This window comes from Homo sapiens, chromosome 2 (assembly GCF_000001405.40).
Source record: "Homo sapiens chromosome 2, GRCh38.p14 Primary Assembly".
In the NCBI taxonomy this organism is placed as follows: Eukaryota; Metazoa; Chordata; class Mammalia; order Primates; family Hominidae; genus Homo; species Homo sapiens.
This window is the reverse complement of record NC_000002.12, coordinates 216,451,978-216,473,758: the sequence shown is the minus strand read 5'-3', so window position 1 is coordinate 216,473,758 and position 21,781 is coordinate 216,451,978. Positions and strand designations below refer to the sequence as shown.

Sequence of the window (21,781 nt, the reverse complement as noted above, 5' to 3'; positions counted from 1 at the left end):
GCTAGTGATAAACATGATAAGGAAAATAAAAACATTTAGTAATCTAACCAATCTACTTTTTCCTGTCTCTTTTTTTGATGTGTATGGTATATATATCTTTTAAATAAAAAGTTTTATATCCTGTTTTCCCCCAATAAAACACATTATAAGTAAAACTGTATTGTTAAGTGTTCTAAAATATCATTTTTAATGGCCCTTTGTCATTATGCAGCAACAGCATAATTTAACCCTTCTATTTCTGCAGATTTAGGGGTCTCAAATTTTTCCTAAAAGGATATGTTGGTAAATGTCCATCAACAAGTGAACAGATGATGTACAATGGGATGTTATTTAGCACTAAAAGGGAGTGAACATCTGCAGGTCTAGATAACCAAAAAAGAAAAAAAAAAAAAAGGAAAACCAAGGAGTGAACACTAAAAAGGAACGAGACACACAACAACATGGATAAATCTCAAAAAAAAAAAGTACATCCTGAATGTCCTTTTCTCCACATTTATATTCCATTATATTCCATATTTATATAAAATTCTAAAAATCCGCAAACTAATCCTTAGTGACAGACCGTAGACCAGAGGTTGCTTGAGGATGGGAGGGTGAGGGAAGGGGCAGGAGGGCGTGATTACAAAGGAAAACTCTGGGGGTGGGGGCAGCGGGTGGCAGATATGTTTCCTATCTTGATTCTCATTAATTGTACACATTATGTGCAGTTTACTGCATGTCAATTATACCTCAAGAATGCTATTAAAATGGAAAGTTTTTAAGAGGATGCCAATTTTTGGTGATTTTCTTAGATTGGACTACAAACCAAAGTACGATAGCAAAAAGAAAAAACTTAATTTAAGGCTCCTGATATTATTGCCAAATTGCTTTCCAATAACTAATGTATTAGCATGTCCATCTTCGTACACTTTCATCAACAGTGAGCACCGCACATTTTTAAAACCTCTACTGACTTGATGGGGTAAAAAAAAAAATTTTATTTTTCACTAACTTGATTACTAGTGAAATTGGGTGTTTTCGTTATCTTTTAATTGGCTACTGGTGTCATTTCTTTGATGAACTATCTATTTATACAGGTTGCCCCCTTTTTTTTTTTCCTACTGGGAGTTAGGAAATACCTTTACATGTAAAAACCATTATTTGTATGTCACAGAGGTGGCTAATAGTTTCCCTAGCTTATTTCCTTCTATTACTTTTCTGTTGTTTTCTAAATTCTCCTTTATTTTTAAAAATGTAATTTTTCTTATTATAAAAATAATACACACTCATTGCAAAAATACAGAAAAACTAAAAAGATAATGATGACTACTTAGAGATAATCATCATTAATGTACTGGTATATATTAATCAGGCTTTTTTCTATGGATGACTATTTTATTTATTTTATTTTATTTATCTTATTTTTGAGATAGAGTCTTGTCTCTCACCCAGGCTGCAGTACAGTGGCAGGATCTCGGCTCACTGCAGCCGCTGCTTCCCAGGTTCAAGCAATTCTCGTGTCTCAGCCTCCTGACTAGCTGGGATTACAGGCATGCACCACTATGCCCAGCTAATTTTTGTATTCTTAGTAGAGATGGGGTTCCGCCATGTTGTCCAGGCTGATCTAGAATTCCTAACCTCGGGTGATCTGCCTGCCTCAGTCTCCCAAAGTGCTGGGATTACAGGCGTGAGCCACTGCGCCTGGACAACATGACAATTTTTAAAAATTATTATACATACAACAGCTTTTTGTCCATAGTATGGACATCTTCCGATAGCAATATATACTAACCAGATACCAAGACCTTCAATTTTGGAGTTTCTTCAGGTTCTTATAGGGTTCAATGATCTCCAAAGTTAGGAACCACTGATCAACATTATATTTTATGGCTGAATGGACTATAATTTATTTAATAGTATATCTGTTGATAAAAACTTAGATTTTTAATTATTGAATATTATAAACAGCATGACTAATATTCTCATTTATAAATCTGACTAGTCTGATGATTTCCTTAGGATAAATTCCTAGAAGTAAAATTTGAAAAATTGAGTGCACGCCTTAATTTACTGTCAAACTGCCCTCCAAAAATGTACAAATGTACAAGAGAATCATAGCCACTGTGGGCTGGGCATGGTGGCTCACGCCTGTAATCTTAGCACTTTGGGAGGCCAAGGTGGGTGGATCACCAGAGGCCAAGAGTTTGAGACCAGCCTGGCCAACACAGTGAAAGCTTGTCTCTAATAAAAATACAAACATTAGCTGGGCATGGTAGCAGGCACCTGTATTCCCAGCTACTTGGGAGGCTGAGGCAGAAATGCTTGAAGCCAGGAGGCGAAGGTTGCAGTCAGCTGAGATTGCACCATTGCACTCCAGCCTGAGCGACAGAGCAAAAACTCCACCTCAAAAAAAAAAAAAAAAATTTAATCACTGTGTATGTGTCACAGAAAAAATACATGTGTTTAGGTAATTCAAATCAATTTTTCCTTTGTAATTTCTTGGTTTTTATGCTTAGAAAGTCATTCTCCACCCAGTGATCAGCTATTGTTCATTGGTATTTTCTTCTAATACTTTATGGTTTCAAGGATCTTTGATTCACCTGCAATTTAATATAGTAAACAGTGAGTTAAAGTTTCATCTACCCTCCCACCCCCCAATTATTTAGGCAATTACCCAAACTTTGTTGAAGAAATTGAAAACGGATTTGTGACAATTCCTTGATCATGTATTTGCTTTCCATTTATGGTAAAGGGCCATGTATTCTATTCCACCATCTGGCCATCTCTCTGGGGCCAGCATGGCTGAATTTTAATTATTGGTATTTTATAACAGATTTTAATATTTAATGTCTGAAGGGACAAGTCTTCCAACATTGCTCTTCTTTTTCATAGTTGTTTAGATATCGCTCCTGCTTTTTTTTTTTTTTTTTTTTTTTTTTTTGAGATGTTCTTGGGAGTAACAGTATAAAGTTCCCTTTAAAAAATCCAACTGGAGGCTGGGTGCGGTGGCTAATGCCTGTAATCCCAGCACTTTGGTAGGCTGAGGCAAAAGAATTGCTTGAGCCCAGTTCTAGACAAGCCTGGGCAACATGGCAAGACCCTGTCTCTACAGAAAAATTTAAAAATTTGCAAGGCGTGGTGGTACATTCCTGAGGTCCCAGCTACTGGGAAGGCTCAGGCAGGAGGATCACTTGAGCCTAGGAGGTTTAGGCTTCAGTGAGCAGCATTCGTGCCACTGAACTCCAGTGTGGGAGATACAGTGAGACTCTGCTTCAAAAAAAAAAAAAAGATCTAGTTGGAGTTTTTATTAGAATTCAATTAAACCAGCTGGGCCTGGTGGCTCACATCTGTAATCCCAGCATTTTGAGAGGCTGAAGCAGGTGGATCACTTGAGGCCTAGAGTTTGAGACTAACCTGGCCAACATGGTGGAACCCCGTCTCTACTAAAAAAATGCAAAAAAATTAGCTGGGCGTGGTGGTGTGCACCAGTAATCCCAGCTATTCAGGAGGCTGAGGCATGAGAATCTCTTGAACCCAGGAGGCGGAGGCTATAGTGAGCTAAGATGAAGCCACTGCACTCCAGCCCGGGCAACGGAGCGAGACCCCCCTCCCCAACAAAATAAATTTAAAAGATAAAAAGATAACTGATAAAACATTAATATCCAGAATTTATAAAGAATTTTCCTAAATCAGTAAGAAAAAAACAATCCAACAGAAAAACAGGCAAAGGATACAAACAGAATATTCACAGGAGACAGCTAAAATGGCCATAAATAAATAAATAAATAAAATGATACACATTTTACTGGTAGTCAGGGAAATGCAAATTAGAGCAAGAATGAGATGATATTTCATTTCTCTGGATTGGTAAAATTAAAAAGTTGGATAATACCAGTGTTAATGGGCACACAGAACAGCAGGAACCCTTATATGTTGTTAGTGAGATTATAAATGTGAATGACCACCTTGGAGAGCAATTTGACAACATTTAGTATGAAGATGAACCTATTTAATAACCATGCAAGAGCATGCCTGAATATGCCTCCCCTACACAAAGCACATACACAAGCCATAAAGAAATGCATAGATACAAACATACACCTACTATAATATTCACACGATAGCAACCATCAGCAGGAGAATGGATAAACTGCAGTATAGCTATCCAATGAGATACAATTCCACAGTTACAGTGAATGAACTATACGTGTAATGCAGTATAAAGAAATCTCCATTGGGAGGCCGAGGCGGGCGGATCATGAGGTCAGGAGATCGAGACCATCCTGGCTAACACACGGTGAAACCCTGTCTCTACTAAAAATACAAAAAAATTAGCCAGGCATGGTGGCGGGCACCTGTAGTCCCAGCTTCTCGGGAGGCTGAGACAGGAGAATAGCTTGAACCCGGGAGGTGGAGCTTGCAGTGAGCCAAGGTCGTGCTACTGCACTCCAGCCTGGGGGACAGAGCAAGACTGTTTCAAAAAAAAAAAAAAAAAAAAAAGAAATCTCTAAAACAATGCTGAGAAAAAAGTAAGTTGCAGGATAATTACACCGTGCTGTCATTTATTTTAAATTTTTAAAAATAAGCAAAAAGGAGACGATAAATTGCTTATGGATACGTACTCCTAGAATATAGTATGACAACATGGAGGGCAAGGATACCCATTGCCTTCGTAATAGTGATGTTATTGCTGGAGAGATGGAAGGGGAATAAAGTTAGAATACTGAGGGGACCTAAGTATTTTATTATTAAAAAAATAAACCTTCAGGCTGGGTGTGGTGGCTCATGCCTGTAATCCAAGCACTCTGGGAGGCCGAGGTAGGTGGATCACTTGAGGCCAGGAGTTCAAGACCAGCCTGGGCAACATGGTGAAACCCCGTCTCTACTAAAAATACAAAAATTAGCCAGGTGAGGTGGTGTAGTCCCAGCTACTTGGAAGGCTGAGGCACGAGAATCACTTGAACCTGAGAAGCGGAGGCTACAGTGAGCTGAGATCCTGCCACTGCACTCCAGCATGGGCAACACAGCAAGACTCTGCCTCAAAATAAAAAAACCTTGAAATAAATTCATTTATTAAATCTGGGTGGGAGATACATGGGTATTTGCTGTATATTTCTCTGTACTCTTAAAGTACATTCAAATGTTATATAAATATAAACGATGAGGGAAGACAAAGAGCAATTTACAGCCTTAAATTTAACCAAAAATGAAAAGGGGATGAAATGTGTTCAGTTTTCATAAACATCCTTGGAAATCCTTCTAGATCCCTTTCGTTCAATTTCAGGAGAGCCATAAAACTCTCTACTAATGTCTGCACACTGCCATGTGGAATTAATAAAAGTGCTTTGACAGTGCTGAGGAGGAATGAAAGGAAGGAAAAGAGGAAAACATTCACATAAATACTTGTCTCCATACAAAAGGACAATTTTGCTATCTCCTCTCTTGCCAACTTTGTAATTATTTATGCAGAATAATGGAACAGCCCCTGGGAGATGTTCCTAAAGCAAGACTCCTGGGATATCTATTTGGAGCATGGAGGAAGTTAAAATGACATGGCTGGGGAAACATTTTGACCCCACTGTGGTTCTACAAGCAAGAACTCTTCTTCAGAAAGTCTTCAGCAATGCTTCCGGAAGCCATCGGTCTCACTTTGCTTGGATCTGACCTAAGCCTGCTTAGAACAACTTGGGACATGGCAAAAGTAGCCCATGGTGAATTTCAAAGGGAGCTCACCTTTCTCTCAAGCTCTTGCGTAATTGCGTCCAGGACCACCTTATGGTGTGCAAATACTAAAAACTTCTCTCTTCCACTTTCCAGTAGGTCCAAGATATATTCACTGCATTTGACAATGACAACAAAACAGATTAAACATATACTCCTTATGTTTTATGTGTCTCTGGTATGTTACTGAAACATTCTTATTATCTGGGATCATAGAAGATGATCAACAGTTTTCACTTTACCTCCGACTATCATTATAATGTGTTTTAAATACAAATTAGAGTGTCCTCTGTAGATCTGAAAGCATTTAGGGAGGGGACTAAGGAATTAATGACAGTACACAAATTTCTAGAAGCTAAATATTGAGACATACATAATACTAAAGAGACATTCCAAGAAGGATCTCCAGCTCCTCCCACTTTAGACCTCAAATGACAGGGCCAGTAGTTAAGTCAGTTAATTCTCTTCCAAGGCAGAGGACTATGGAGAGAAGGTTCTCATTTGTTTGGCCTCCCTTAATTTACATCTCTCTTCCAGCCACTGTGTTTTTTCTTAGCTTCCCACCCTTTTTTTTTTTTTTTTTTTTTTGAGACTGAGTTTCGCTCTGTCGCCCAGGCTGGAGTGCAGTGCTGAAATCTCAGCTCACTGCAACCTCCACCTCCTGGGTTCAAGCAATTCTCTTGCCTCAGCCTCCTGAGTAGCTGGGATTACAGGTGTGTACCACAACGCCCAGCTAATTTTTGTATTTTTAGTAGGGATGGGGTTTCACCATGTTGGCCAGGCTGGTCTCAAACTCCTGACCTCAAGTGATTTGCCCACCTTGGCCTCCCAAAGTGCTGAGATTACAGGCGTGAGCCACCGCACCCGGCAAGCTTCCCACCTCTTATCTTTCGCTTGGCCTTAAGGTGGCTACCCTCAGGGAGCAGTGGGGTGGGAAGTCACCAGGTTAACAGACCCTGGCTAGGTGCCCCCTCCCCTGGTAGCTCCCTGAAGAGGGATCACAATCCCAAAGAAGAGGTAAGCCCAGTACAGGCAAGTGAGCTCCTTTGCTGAGGCCATTGCCAGCCATGGGTGCGTCTGGACAGGGAACAGACTCTGCCTTCCTTAAAGAAGGATATGTCTCAGGTGAGGGAAAGGTACGTGGACTGCCCTGTAAACATCCAAGAGTCATTTCAAACAACACTATGACTGACCAGGGCACCAGATTTGAGTTCAATTTGTGAATTGTTGATACTAATAGAATTTACTTTAATTATTTTGAGAGACATAAAATTTGCCATGATATAAGCAAAAAAGTTTACGGCTACAGCATCAAAAAGTCACAAGGCCACAAAATCCACTTGGTGAGCTCATAAAAACCACAGGCCCCAATTTTCCTAATGCGTCTTTCCCCTCTATATCTCATACACAGCTTTGTTGTTCTATAACCTTCTACAAGTTCCTAGGCTGGAAATATCTGCCTACCACAATAACCTTGGCTTTTATATTAAAAGATGCCCATTAAAATGAAAAAACAAACAACAGCAAAAAAAGAAAAGAAAAACAACTAGCTGAGGAAATTGGGGTTTTGAAGACATACAATCTAATTTCCACTTACTAGCTGTGTGACTCTGAGGTCCAGAGAGTCATAGATTTACTCAGTGTTTGCATTTTTAAAAATGGAGCCAGTGTGACTTACATGATCTCACAAAGATGCTGTAAATGTGAAATGAGTTCACAGGTGTAAAAAATGTTTGGAAACTACAAAGCACTATACAATTTATTGTATAATAGAAATTTGAGAAAGTATGTATAAGGTATGACCAAAGTTTATTTATGAGGTGGTAGAAAGACTTAAAATTTCTAAGGGAAATGGGTGGCTCTGGGCACAGTATCTGAAGAGAGAGGCACCTGGTGGACTCTGAATTTTGCAGGTCCTGAGCTGAGGGAGCAAGGGAGAAACGCACACCCTTGCCATCTGTTATTCCACAGCACATGAGAAATGGGTCAGCGGGGGCAACTCAGATGTGTTTCTGGGAGAAAAGTTTCCAGGCCATAAAAACCACATCTGGAGTTCATTAGCAGGGTCATAAATGAAAAGGGCAGTGCCCAGGAGGTGAAGGGGAGGAGGCCAGCACTGGGCAGTCTTTCCAGGGGGCATTGCAGATCGAGTGGTGTGGGGAGCTCTCTTGCCACAGTGGAGGGTGTGGAGAGGTAGGTGGGCCAAGTACGAGGATGGGGCAGATATATTTCTTAATTTATCCCCAGATCTCAGTCCCCACAGCCAGTCTGGCACCACTCAGCCCTACGGAATCCATTCTCATTGTAATTTCATCAGTTGGACCATTATCCTGCCAGAGCATCACATGAATGTTAAACAAAAAAAAAAATCAGGCAAACTGCACATCATTAGAATTGCCAGGTTTCTACCCCAGTGATATTTAAATAGGAGTGGGTTTTTCTTTAAGAAAGGCATACAATTGAGATTTTGTCATGAATAATTGTAAGAATAGAAATTATTACTTTAGCTTTAATTTATAAGGTGGAAATAGAACTAGGCGTGACAACGGCCATATGCCCATATCTTTTGAACAAACTTTGACATTTGTCTTTTTATTTAGGTAAGTAATGGATGACAATTCCTGACCTTGGGGAAGACCCAAGTATCCCCATAAGGCAGCTTTTCCTTCTAATTTTTTTTTCCCTAAAGGCAAATGATCACAGTCCTCCTAGAAAAACTCTCCCCTTTGGTGCTGGGGACAACCCCACCCTCCTTTTAACGAGCAGCAGCTCCAGCCTACTTGGCTCAAGACAGGATCTCTTAGAGACCCAGGTACATCCTAGTAGTCGCTCCAGTTACCGGCCAACTTATGCCTTGTGTGTAATTAACAGCAGGGTGCCCTAAACTTTTACTTTTTTCATTTTTCCCTTGAGACAGGGTTTTAGTCTCTTGCTTAGGCTGGAGTGCAGTGGCACCACCTTAGCTCACTGCAGCCTCGACCGTCCTCCCTCCCAAGCAATCCTCCCTCCTCAGCCTCCTGAGTAGTTGGGACCACAGGTGCATGCCACCATGCCCAGCTAATTCTGTTCATTTTTTGTATAAATGGGGTCTCACTATGTTGTCCAGGCTGGTCTCAAACTCCTGGACTCAAGCAATCCTCCCACCTTGGCCTCCCAAAGTGCTGGGATTACAGGCATTGAGCCTGGCCCCTAAACTTTATTTTCAAGGCAGCTATAATTCTACTCTCTGATCATCTGTTTTATTTTTTCCTTCCTCAACAAAAGGCACATTTAATAATCTCTGGTCATTTCTTAGACGCAGTAAAATCATTCAGGCAGAATAAAGTAATAAGTTGTTTTTTTTTTTTTTGAAGATGAGAGAGAGAGAGGTCGACACTTAGTGACCACTTACATGACAGATGGGATTTTAGCTTCAGCTGTTCTGTTGAAGAAGAGAATGAGGGCATCTTTCTGCTGCTGTTTCTGTTGAAAGATAAGTTAAGAATGTTAAGTGCCCCAGTCTGAGAACTCTGGGATGAGTGGATCTAATTATTGCTCCTATGCGCTTTACAAATCTCAACCACCCGTCACCAGAGTCAGGAGACCCTGGTGCTGACAATGATTCCCCTTTCACTTTGGCCAAGTCAGAAGAACTGCCTGGGTCGGGTTTTGTCCTCAGAGACGGCATTAGAGCTACTCTGCCATTGTCCAAGAACCATTGCAAGAATCCAAGAGGCAAGGAACACAAAAGCTCTTTGGAGACGCATTTCAGGTAGGGCTTCACCATACACACCAGACCCATGTGAACCACTGAAATGTGGCCTTGGCTAAGCATACCTATTTACTACAGCCTGGTGACAACTTACATGTGACATTTCCCCAACTTGCTTTTTGCTTCCCTCTTTTCTTCTGCCAAGCTGTGACTATACCTGACTTACAGAGCTTACCTCTGTCCAAGATTTACTGAATCAATTCCAATGGACCCTGACTAGTCTATTTTACTATCATTTTATTTTATCTTATTTTTTATTTTTTTGAGACAAAGTCTCGCTCTGTCTCGCCCAGGCTGGAGTGCAGTGGCGCGATCTCGGCTCACTGCAGCCTCTGCCTCCCAGGTTCAAGCGATTCTCCCGTCTCAGCCTCCGAGTAGCTGGGACTTACAGGCATGTGCCACCACGTCCAGCTAATTTTGTATTTTTAGTAGAGACAGGGTTTCACCATGTTGGCCAGGCTGGTCTCGAACTTCTGACCTCCGGTGTTCCACCCACCTCAGCCTCCCAAAGTGCTGGGATTACAGGCATGAGTCACCGCACCTGGCCCATTTTAGTATCATTTTAAAACCATTATTCAGGTGTTCTTGGTATACCTCCCACATAAGGTAATTAACTTCCCAGAAGAAGAAACGGTGTTTTCTTTATGGTTTACATTTAAGTGACTCCTAATAAAGAATGCTAACACAGGAGATGCTCAAATCATTTCATAATAATGTGAGATAACATTTACTATCGCTCTGGCCTCCCAGAGATCATACTCTTACCATCATTGGTAAGAGTGTCCCCCCAAAATTCATAATCTGAAACTTAATTTCCAGTGCAGTGGTGGTGGGAAGTGGGGCATCTGGGAGATGCTTAGATCATAAGGACAGAGAGCCTCTTTGTTCCTTCCGCCCTCTTTGAAACAGAAACTGGGCCCTCACTAGACACTGAATCTGCTGGCCACTTGATCTTGAACTTCCCAGCCCCTAAAACCATGAGCAATACATTTCTGTTTATAGATGGCTCAGTCTAAAGTATTTTGTTACAGCACAAAAGGACCAAGACAGGTGGCCATCTCCTTTCACCAGCAAGCATAGTACAGGTGCACCCCCCTTCTTGTGCCTGGCCTCTGTAAGATCTGTGACTGACAGGACAGCTTCCCCAGGGAACAAAGACGTGATTCAACAGCAATAACATCTATAGCCTTGAACCTGTCATTCTTGAGATCTTGATAACTCAGGAAAGCAACCACAGCCAGACTGTACCTAAAACTAATAACCATGGATGGAGGAAAAAGCTGTCTGGTTAAAACAGCTTCTTGGCTTTGGGGTTGTTTTTGTTTTTGAGACAGGGTCATGCTCTGTCACCCAGGCTGGACTCGATCATGGCTCACTGCAGCCTCAGCGTCTTGGGCTCAAGCAATCCTCCCACCTCAGCCTCCCAAGTAACTGGGACTAAAGGTATGCACCACCACACCAGCTTTTTTTTTTTTTTTATTTTTTGTAGAGACAGGATCTCACTATGTTGTCCAGGTCCGTCTCAAACTCTTAGGCTCAAGTAATCCTCCCATCTTGGCCTCCTACAGTGCTGGGATTACAGGCATGAGCCACTGCATCTGGCCAGCTTCTTAGCTTTGAATGGTATCTTTCCTCCAGGACTTTACGGGAAAAAAGAAAGATGCTGAGGAACCCAGGAAGCTGTGGGGTCACTGATTAGACTGTAAATCCCTTTCATATCCTACATGTGTCTTGGCAGTGGCAGCCACCTACCCTCCTATTTTGTATCACGCTCTGGAAACATACACAACTTTTCACCTGTGGCTAGTGAGCTCAGACTTCATGAAATCCATTCATGGACGTCTAACGGTCCCCAGGAGCAGGCTAGGCCCTCCAACCCAATGCAGTTTCTAGTAGCCAAAGGGGCAGGGCAGGCTTACATGTGATGACCTCACTCGCAGCATGTGTGCCTCCATCAGACTGCACCCCAGTTGGCCCCCATCTTCAGTTTTACTCGTGTCCTTCAGAGAGAGCCTACCCCTCCCACCTACACTCACTCATGCCATACTCCCTAATAAGAAAGAAAGAGGGCAAAACAAACAGATGGAAAACTGCTGAGAAGCACTTTCAGGAATCTTGCTCTAACATTTAGCACCTAGAGTTGATGAGAGTATGAAGAAACAAACACTTTTATTATACTTGACTGGTGGGATGGTACACTGGGCTAGCCCTTTTGGGGATGATGCAGCAAAACGTACCAACCCCCTTTAAATATGCCAAAACCCTACCATCCAGCAACTTACTCCTTAAAACTAATTCTCATTATAAAATTGCATGTGCACAAATTTCTATGTAAGCTACTTTTTCAGTACAGTATTACTCAGAATAGTGAGCAATTGAAAGTAACTTAAAGGCCCAACAAAACGATTAGCAAAATTATAGCCGTGTGAGAAAACACTATGCAGTCTTTAAATATTATGGTTTGTTTTTTTTTTTTTTGAGACAAGGTCTCTGTCTGTCACACTGGAATGCAGTGGCACAATCACAGCTCACCTCAGCCCCAAACTCCCAGACTCAGGTGATCTTCCCACCTCAGCCTCCTACCCAAGTAGCTGGGACTACAGGTACACACTACCACGCCCAGCTAATTTTTTTGGATTTTTTGTAGAGACAGGGTTTTGCCATGTTGTCCAGGCTGGTATCAATCTCCTGGGCTCAAGTGATCCTCCTGCCTTGGCCTCCCAAAATGTTGGGATTACAGGAGTGAGCCAGCACACCTGGCTAAATATTATGTTTTAAGAGAATATTTAACAACATGGAAAAGTCTTCATAAGACAGTAACCTGTTTTCCTTCCCACTTGACGTGTTTGTATGATCCCAGTTCTGCTTTTAAAATACACATATTGCTTATTGCATATATAATATTTTATATATATTTATATGCAGATACATAAAAATATATCTTAAAGCAACATATACACACATAATTATAGAAAAATACTCAAATTATATATGCCAAAATTATGGTTGTATAAAAGATGATTCTTTTTTTTTAAATTGGTTAACTTTTTATTATCTTGTTTGTACTTTTAAAAAGTATAGTTACAGAAGCAGCACATGTGCACTATAGGAAATTTTTGAATTTAATTAAATCAATTTAATTACCATCAGTGTCCACCAATGCTCATTACCTTAATGTTTACCTTTCCAGGTCTTTATACACATACACACACACATACACACACACACACACACACACACACACACACACACCTCTTTCTAGTTTTACATCAATATAAAATTTTATTGTACATACCATTCCTTAATCTGGTTTTGTTTTTTTAGTAACTTTCTCTTTCAGTACATTTTATCTCATCTACTACTGAGACTATGTTCAAAATTCCCCCAGTTGACCCAAAAATATTACATACAGTTCATTTGTCCATTCAAATATCAAATGTAAGGATGATTCTTTTTTTAAATATATTTTTTTATTACACTTTAAGTTCTAGGGTACATGTGCACAACGTGCAGGTTTGTTACATATGTATACATGTGCCATGTTGGTGTGCTGCACCCATTAACTCATCATTTACATTAGGTATATCTCCTAATGCTATCCCTCCCCCCTCCCCCCACCCCACAACAGGCCCTGGTGTGTGATGTTCCCCTTCCTGTGTCCAAGTGTTCTCATTGTTCAATTCCCACCTATGAGTGAGAACATGCAGTGTTTGGTTTTTTGTCCTTGCGATAGTTTGCTGAGAATGGTGGTTTCCAGCTTCATCCATGTCCCTACAAAGGACATGAACTCATCATTTCTCATAGCTGCATAGTATTCCATGGTGTATATGTGCCACATTTTCTTAATCCAGTCTATCATTGTTGGACATTTGGGTTGGTTCCAAGTGTTTGCTATTGTGAATAGTGCTGCAATAAACATACATATGCATGTGTCTTTACAGCAGCATGATTTATAATCCTTTGGGTATATACCCAGTAATGGGATGGCTGGGTCAAATGGTATTTCTAGTTCTACATCCCTGAGGAATCGCCACACTGACTTCCACAGTGGTTGAACTAGTTTACAGTCCCATCAACAGTGTAAAAGTGCTCCTATTTCTCCACATCCTCTCTAGCACCTGTTGTTTCCTGACTTTTTAATGATCGCCATTCTAACTGGTGTGAGATGGTATCTCATTGTGGTTTTGATTTGCATTTCTCTGATGGCCAGTGATGATGAGCATTTTTTCATGTGTCTGTTGGCTGAATAAATGTCTTCTTTTGAGAAGTGTCTGTTCATATCCTTTGCCCGCTTGTTGATGGGGTTGTTCGTTTTTTTCTTGCAAATTTGTTTGAGTTCTTTGTAGATTCTGGATATTAGCCCTTTGTCAGATGAGTAGATTGCAAAACTTTTCTCCCATTCTGTAGGTTTCCTGTTCACTCTGATGGTAGTTTCTTTTGCTGTGCAGAAGCTCTTTAGTTTAATTAGATCCCATTTGTCAATTTTGGCTTTTGTTGCCATTGCTTTTGGTGTTTTAGACATGAAGTCCTTGCCCATGCCTATGTCCTGAATGGTATTGCCTAGGTTTTCTTCTAGGGTTTTTATGGTTTTAGGTCTAACATTTAAGTCTTTAATCCATCTTGAATTAATTTTTGTATAAGGTGTAAGGAAGGGATCCAGTTTCAGCTTTCTACATATGGCTAGCCAGTTTTCCCAGCACCATTTGTTAAATAGGGAATCCTTTCCCCATTTCTTGTTTTTGTCAGGTTTGTCAAGGATCAGATAGTTGTAGATGTGTGGTATTGTTTCTGAGGGCTCTGTTCTGTTCCATTGGTCTAGATCTCTGTTTTGGTACCAGTACCATGCTGTTTTGGTTACTGTAGCCTTGTAGTATAGTTTGAAGTCAGGTAGTGTGATGACTCCAGCTTTGTTCTTTTGGCTTAGGATTGACTTGGCAATGTGGGCTCTTTTTTGGTTCCATATGAACTTTAAAGTAATTTTTTCCAATTCTGTGAAGAAAGTCATTGGTAGCTTGATGGGGACGGCATTGAATCTATAAATTACCCTGGGCAGTATGGCCATTTTCATGATATCGATTCCTCCTATTCAGGAGTATGGAATGTTCTTCCATTTGTCTGTATCCTCTTTTATTTCGTTGAGCCAGTGGTTTTTAGTTCTCCTTGAAGAGGTCCTTCACATCCCTTGTAAGTTGGATTCCTAGGTATTTTATTCTCTTTGAAGCAATTGTGAATGGGAGTTCACTCAAGATTTGGCTCTCTGTTTGTCTGTTATTGGTGTATAAGAATGCTTGTGATTTTTGCACATTGATTTTGTATCCTGAGACTTTGCTGAAGTTGCTTATCAGCTTAAGGAGATTTGGGGCTGAGACGATGGGGCTTTCTAGATATACAATCATGTCATCTGCAAACAGGGACAATTTGACTTCCTCTTTTCCTAATTGAATACCCTTTATTTCTTTCTCCTGCCTGATTGCCCTGGCCAGAACTTCCAACACTATGCTGAATAGGAGTGGTGAGAGAGGGCATCCCTGTCTTGTGCCAGTTTTCAAAGGGAATGCTTCCAGTTTTTGCCAATTCAGTATGATATTGGCTGTGGGTTTGTCATAAATAGCTCTTATTATTTTGAGATATGTCCTATCAATACCTAATTTATTGAGAGTTTTTAGCATGAAGGGCTGTTAAATTTTGTTAAAGGCCTTTTCTGCATCTATTGAGATAATCATGTGGTTTTTGTCTTTGGTTCTGTTTATATGCTGGATTATGTTTATTGATTTGCGTATGTTGAACCAGCCTTGCATCCCAGGGATGAAGCCCACTTGATTATGGTGGATAAGCTTTTTGATGTGTTGCTGGATTCGGTTTGCCAGTATTTTATTGAGGATTTTTGCATTGATGTTCATCAGGGATATTGGTCTAAAATTCTTTTTTTGTTGTGTCTCTGCCAGGCTTTGGTATCAGTATGATGCTGGCCTCACAAAATGAGTTAGGGAGGATTCCCTCTTTTTCTATTGATTGGAATAGTTTCAGAAGGAATGGTACCAGTTCCTCCTTGTACCTCTGGTAGAATTAGGCTGTGAATCCGTCTGGTCCTGGATTTTTTTTGGTTGGTAAGCTATTAATTATTGCCTCAATTTCAGAGCCTGTTATTGGTCTATTCAGAGATTCAACTTCTTCCTGGTTTAGTCTTGGGAGAGTGTATGTGTCAAGGAATTTATCCATTTCTTCTAGATTTTCTAGTTTACTTGCGTAGAGGTGTTTATAATATCTCTGATGGTAGTTTGTATTTCTGTGGGATCAGTGGTGATACCCCTTTATCATTTTTTGTTGCATCTATTTGATTCTTCTCTCTTTTCTCCTTTATTAATCTTGCTAGTGGTCTATCAATTTTGTTGATCTTTTCAAAAAACCAGCTCCTGGATTCATTGATTTTTTGAAGGGTTTTTTGTGTCTCTATCTCCTTCAGTTCTTCTTTGATCTTAGTTATTTCTTGCCTTCTGCTGTCTTTTGAATGTTTGCTCTTGCTTCTCTAGTTCTTTTAATTGTGATGTTAGGGTGTCAATTTTAGATCTTTCCTGCTTTCTCTTGTGGGCATTTAGTGCTATAAATTTCCCTCTACACACTGCTTTAAATGTGTCCCAGAGATTCTGGTATGTTCTGTCTTTGTTCTCATTGGTTTCAAGGAACACCTTTATTTCTGCCTTCATTTCGTTATGTACCCAGTAGTCATTCAGGAGCAGGTTGTTCAGTTTCCATGTAGTTGAGCAGTTTTGAGTGAGTTTCTTAATCCTGAGTTCTAGTTTGATTGCACTGTGGTCTGAGAGACAGTTTGTTATAATTTGTTCTTCTACATTTGCTGAGGAGTGCTTTACTTCCAACTATGTGGTCAATTTTGGAATAAGTACGGTGTGGTGCTGAGAAGAATGTATATTCTGTTGATTTGGGGTGGAGAGTTCTGTAGATGTCTATTAGGTCCGCTTGGTGCAGAGCTGAGCTCAATTCCAGGATATCCTTGTTAACTTTCTGTCTCGTTGATCTGTCTAATGTTGACAGTGGGGTGTTAAAGTCTCCCATTATTATTGTGTGGGAGTCTAAGTCTCTTTGTAGGTCTCTAAGGACTTGCTTTATGACTCTGGGTGCTCCTGTATTGGGTGCATATATATTTAGGATAGTTAGCTCTTCTTGTTGAATTGATCCCTTTACCATTATGTAACGGCCTTGTCTCTTTTGATCTTTGTTGGTTTAAAGTCTGTTTTATTAGAGACTAGGATTGCAACCCCTGCCTTTTTTTGTTTTCTATTTGCTTGGTAGATCTTCCTCCATCCCTTTATTTTGAGCCTATGTGTCTCTGCACATGAGATGGGTTTCCTGAATATAGCACACTGATGGGTCTTGACTCTCTATCCAATTTGCCAGTCTGTGTCTTTCAATTGGAGCATTTAGCCCATCTACATTTAAGGTTAATATTGTTATGTGTGAATTTGATCCTGTCATTATGATGTTAGCTGGTTATTTTGCTCGTTAGTTGATGCAGTTTCTTCCTAGCATTGATGGTCTTTACAATTTGGCATGTTTTTGCAGTGGCTGATACTGGTTGTTCCTTTCCATGTTTAGTGCTTCCTTCAGGAGCCCTTGTAGGGCAGGCCTGGTGGTGACAAAATCTCTCAGCATTTGCTTGTCTGTAAAGGATTTTATTTCTCCTTCACTTATGAAGCTTAGTTTGGCTGGATATGAAATTCTGGGTTGAAAATTCTTTTCTTAAGAATGTTGAATATTGGCCCCCACTCTCTTCTGGCTTGTAGAGTTTCTGCCGAGAGATCAACTGTTAGTCTGATGGGCTTCCCTTTGTGGGTAACCCAACCTTTCTCTCTGGCTGCCTTTAACATTTTTTCCTTCATTTCAACTTTGGTGAATCTGACAATTATGTGTCTTGGAGTTGCTCTTCTCAAGGAGTATCTTTGTGGCGTTCTCTGTATTTACTGAATTTGAATGTTGGCCTGCCTTGCTAGGTTGGGGAAGTTCTCCTGGATAATATCCTGCAGAGTGTTTTCCAACTTGGTTCCATTCTCCCCGTCACTTTCAGGTACACCAATCAGATGTAGATTTGGTCTTTTCACATAGTCCCATATTTCTTGGAGGCTTTGTTCTTTTTATTCTTTTTTCTCTAAACTTCTCTTCTTGCTTCATTTCATTCATTTGATCTTCAATCACTGATACCCTTTCTTCCAGTTGATCAAATCGGCTACTGAAGCTTATGCATTCGTCACGTAGTTCTCGTGCCATGGTTTTAAGCTCCATCAGGTCCTTTAAGGACTTCTCTGCATTGGTTATTCTAGTTAGCCATTCGTCTAATCTTTTTTCAAGGTTTTTAACTTCTTTGCGATGGGTTCAAACTTCCTCCTTTAGCTCAGAGAAATCTGATCATCTGAAGCCTTCTTCTCTCAACTCGTCAAAGTCATTCTCCGTCCAGCTTTGTTCCATTGCTGGTGAGGAGCTGCATTCCTTTGGAGGAGGAGAGGCACTCTGATTTTTAGAATTTTCAGTTTTTCTGCTCTGTTTTTTCCCCATCTTTGTGGTTTTATCTACCTTTGCTCTTTGATGATGGTGACGTACAGATGGGGTTTTGGTGTGCACGTCCTTTCTGTTTGTTAGTTTTCCTTCTAACAGTCAGGACTCTCAGCTGCAGGTCTGTTGGAGTTTGCTGGAGGACCACTCCAGACCCTGTTTGGCTCGGTATCAGCAGCGGAGGCTGCAGAACAACGAATATTGCTGAAGAGCAGATGTTGCTGCCTGATCGTTCTTCTGGAAGTTTCATTTCAGAGGGGTACCTGGCCGTGTGAGGTGTCAGTCTGCCCCTACTCAGGGGTGTGTCCCAGTTAGGCAACTCAGGGGTCAGGGACCCACTTGAGGAGGCAGTCTATCCGTTCTCAGATCTCAAACTCCATGCTGGAAGAACCACTACTCTCTTCAAAGCTGTCAGACAGGGACATTTAAGTCTGCAGAGGTTTCTGCTGCCTTTTGTTTGGCTATGCCCTGCCTCCAGAGGTGGAGTCTACAGAGGCAGGCAGGCCTCCTTGAGCTGCGGTGGGCTCCACCCAGTTCGAGCTTCCCAGCTGCTTTGTTTACCTACTCAAGCCTCAGCAATGGCGGGCACCCCTCCCCCAGCCTCGCTGCTGCCTTGCAGTTCGATCTCAGACTGCTGTGCTAGCAATGAGCGAGCCTCCGTGGGCGTGGGACCATGCGAGCCAGGCACGGGATACAATCTCCTGGTGTGCAGTTTGCTAAGACCATTGGAAAAGCGCAGTATTAGGGTGGGAGTGACCCGATTTTCCAGGTGCCATCTGTCACAGCTTTGCTTGGCTAGCAAAAGGAATTCCCTGACCCCTTGCGCTTCCTGGGTGAGGCGATGCCTCGCCCTGCTTCCGCTCACGCTCGGTGTGCTGCACCCACTGTCCTGCAAACACTGTCCAACAAGCCCCAGTGAGATGAACCCAGTACCTCAGTTGGAAGTGCAGAAATCACCCATCTTCTGTGTCGCTCACGCTGGGAGCTGTAGACTGGAGCTGTTCCTATTCGGCCATCTTGGAACCGCCCCAAGATGATTCTTTTTTATAGTATAGTAATAAAAATAACAACTAACTCTCATATACCACTTATTACGGGCCAAGCAGTGTTCTAAGAACTAAATATGCATTAACTCATTTAATAATCAGCATTGCTATGAGGGAGGCACTACTTTACCACTGTGCAGATTAGGAAACTGAGGCAAAAAAAGTCAAATGAGTATACTTGTCACACTGCTACTAAACGGTAGAACCAGAATTTGTAGCACTTAAAAGTGCAGGCTCTGAGGCTCAAATATCTGGGCTGATGGTGAGAATTTAATGACGCAATACACGTAAAGCACCATGCCCAGCACAGAGCAAGTATTCAATAAATGTTACTGATTGTAAGTATTTTTCTTTATTTTTCAGATTTTATACAATAGATATCTATTTTAATGTGGGAGAAATCAATAGTTTCAGCTTTAAAAAAACTCCCCCAAACTGTGCAGACCTAATACTCTCTATTAATGATCTTACTTCTTTTGCCAGCTACTGGCCAGGAAATTTTAAATAACCTGCATTCTTTGTTCCTGACTAGACCTTAATTAAATTAGATCCAATGGAGTTTTTAAATTTTTCTACATTGGAAATTTGAGTGGATTGTCAAATGGCAAGGGTGAACTGATATTGTTACCAGGAAATCTGTATGGACTTGTTCCATTTCTCTGTTACTGGTCTTGAGGATGAAAAAATGGCTTTAGACAAAAGATGATTACAGTCAGCTTTCCTTTGCCTGTGAAGCGATATCCATTATTTCAGCTGAAAAAATGAGAAAAGTCTTTGATTATACATTACATTCTATAAATTGGCTCCTTCACCTTGGCTCCTGTGATATAAAGCTTTTTAAGAAATGTATTCTTCCAGATGGAAAGGTGTGAAGGAACAAAGAATCAATTCTTGACAGGCAGGTCAGCAGTGCTTGGCTGGAGTCACCATGATTTGCAAAATTGCAAGGAAACTTGGGACTAAAAAGTAACTTAAAAAACTGGTGGCAGTGGAGAGAGGGGACTTTCTATAGATCCACAGGGCCTCCTTATTCAACTAAAACCATAAAAAAAATAAGTCCCCATTTTAACCCTTCCAACTCAGGATTTCATAGCTGGCCAGGGTCTGGAAGACATGCCTATGGTCATCTAGTCCAGCCTCCAGCTGATGCTGGCTCCCTTCCTGAATTAAGTTAGAGCAATGATCCTGATCAGATCCATGGTTTAGAAATGCACTAAATCAATGGCTTTAGAAATCCAAAGGTTCTGATGGCCCAAAGCACAAACACACAAATCTGTTTTCTACTTGGATTTTCCATTATAAAAATTGATTTCTATTAAGACACAAAAAGGCATCAAGTTCTTAAGGAATTATTATCTGAAAGAATTTAGTGTCTGGCTTCAGCCATCACACTGATGGTAATCTGTACCAACTCAATCTCTATCTTTCAGGGATAAACGTTTAACTTTCCTAAGACTCCAAGGAAGCAGACAGCAACTCTCAGGTGCTGGACTGAGAAGAGCTCCGGGCTCTTTCTCAGCTGGATTCTTGAAGAATGACACTGCAATTTAGGCTTCATTTTCATCATCTGCAAAATGGAGTTAACACTGTGGTGTTTACAAAGCAAAGAGGATAATCACCCAGTAGGCAGGATTCTGGGCAACTGGCACTATCCTTATGTACTTTTCCACAACCAAAAGGGAGTTGTGGCTCCGTTTCTAAGCAAGAAAATATAAAAATATCCTCAAAAATACTGGATTTGTATAGCTACCTAAAGTTATAAAACACCCAACATTCCTAAATTCCATAGTACCTCCTAGTTAATTTCATAGCATCACCAACAAGCTCAGAAATCAAACTCTCAGGTGACATCTGAAATCATCTTTGAAAAGAGCCACTCCCTTTACTTGAAGAACTATACAAGTTGGCAGAAGTTTACAAAATGCTTTCAGATCTTGTTGCACTAAGCACAAAATTTCTACTGCTTTTCTTTTTTTCTTTTTGGCCATACTACACAATTCACAGTTGTGTTTCAACAAGTTAATGTGCTTTTCCTCCTTAATTCAAATGCCCACTAATTGCTTTTTCAGGTGTCTACCTTGGCTGTTCTCAAACTGGTTCAGGAGGTGAACCAGGTATTGGTGAGGGTGTTCTCTGGGGAATCTCACGAAACACTAACAGACTTACTTCCATCTCACACACACAAGGAACAACTTTGCTGGCAAAAAAAATAACATTTTATAAATATTCAGCTCTTTGCATCTAAAAATATTGCATGTCTGAATTTTTCCATTAATATTATATTTGCTATACCAGTTCACTGGTTTTCTTGTCTGGTAGAGTTCACCAGTAGACGAAAGTTATTAAGAAAAAGTTATAAGAAAAAACTTCAAATTGAGAAAAAATAATCTACTCATTGCATTTTTATCTCTAAAAATAAACAAAAGACCACCAAGATTGATTTTAGTGACAAAGCTTCCTGGTTTTACTCATGATTCCACTGAAATATAATCTGAGAACACTGGTCTATATGTCTACATCGATGTTGTTTAAGTTTGAAAACTCCACAATAAAGAGATGATGCCTGCTCACTTACTCCAGACCATCCAGATTATTATATGTAATACAGCATAAATTCAATACAGCTTGAAAATTTGCCAGTGCATCCTCTATCCTGTCATTTCTTAAAAGTTATCAATGAATCTTGCTCATCACATGGTAAAATAACATGAAAAACATGCAT

The 21,781-nt window shown here is 40.6% G+C and overlaps 1 protein-coding gene across 2 annotated transcripts in view; it reads right to left on the bottom strand.

The window, feature by feature from the left end:
- Positions 1-21,781, bottom strand: part of SMARCAL1 (SNF2 related chromatin remodeling annealing helicase 1) — a 70,570-nt gene that overhangs the window by 9,295 nt on the left and 39,494 nt on the right. For both annotated transcript variants that reach the window (NM_014140.4, NM_001127207.2), the window contains exons 13-14: positions 9,092-9,162; positions 5,713-5,815 (exon numbers count right to left, since the gene is read on the bottom strand). In NM_014140.4, coding sequence (NP_054859.2) covers positions 5,713-5,815; positions 9,092-9,162 — 174 coding nt within the window. The remainder of the gene's footprint in view (positions 1-5,712; positions 5,816-9,091; positions 9,163-21,781) is intronic.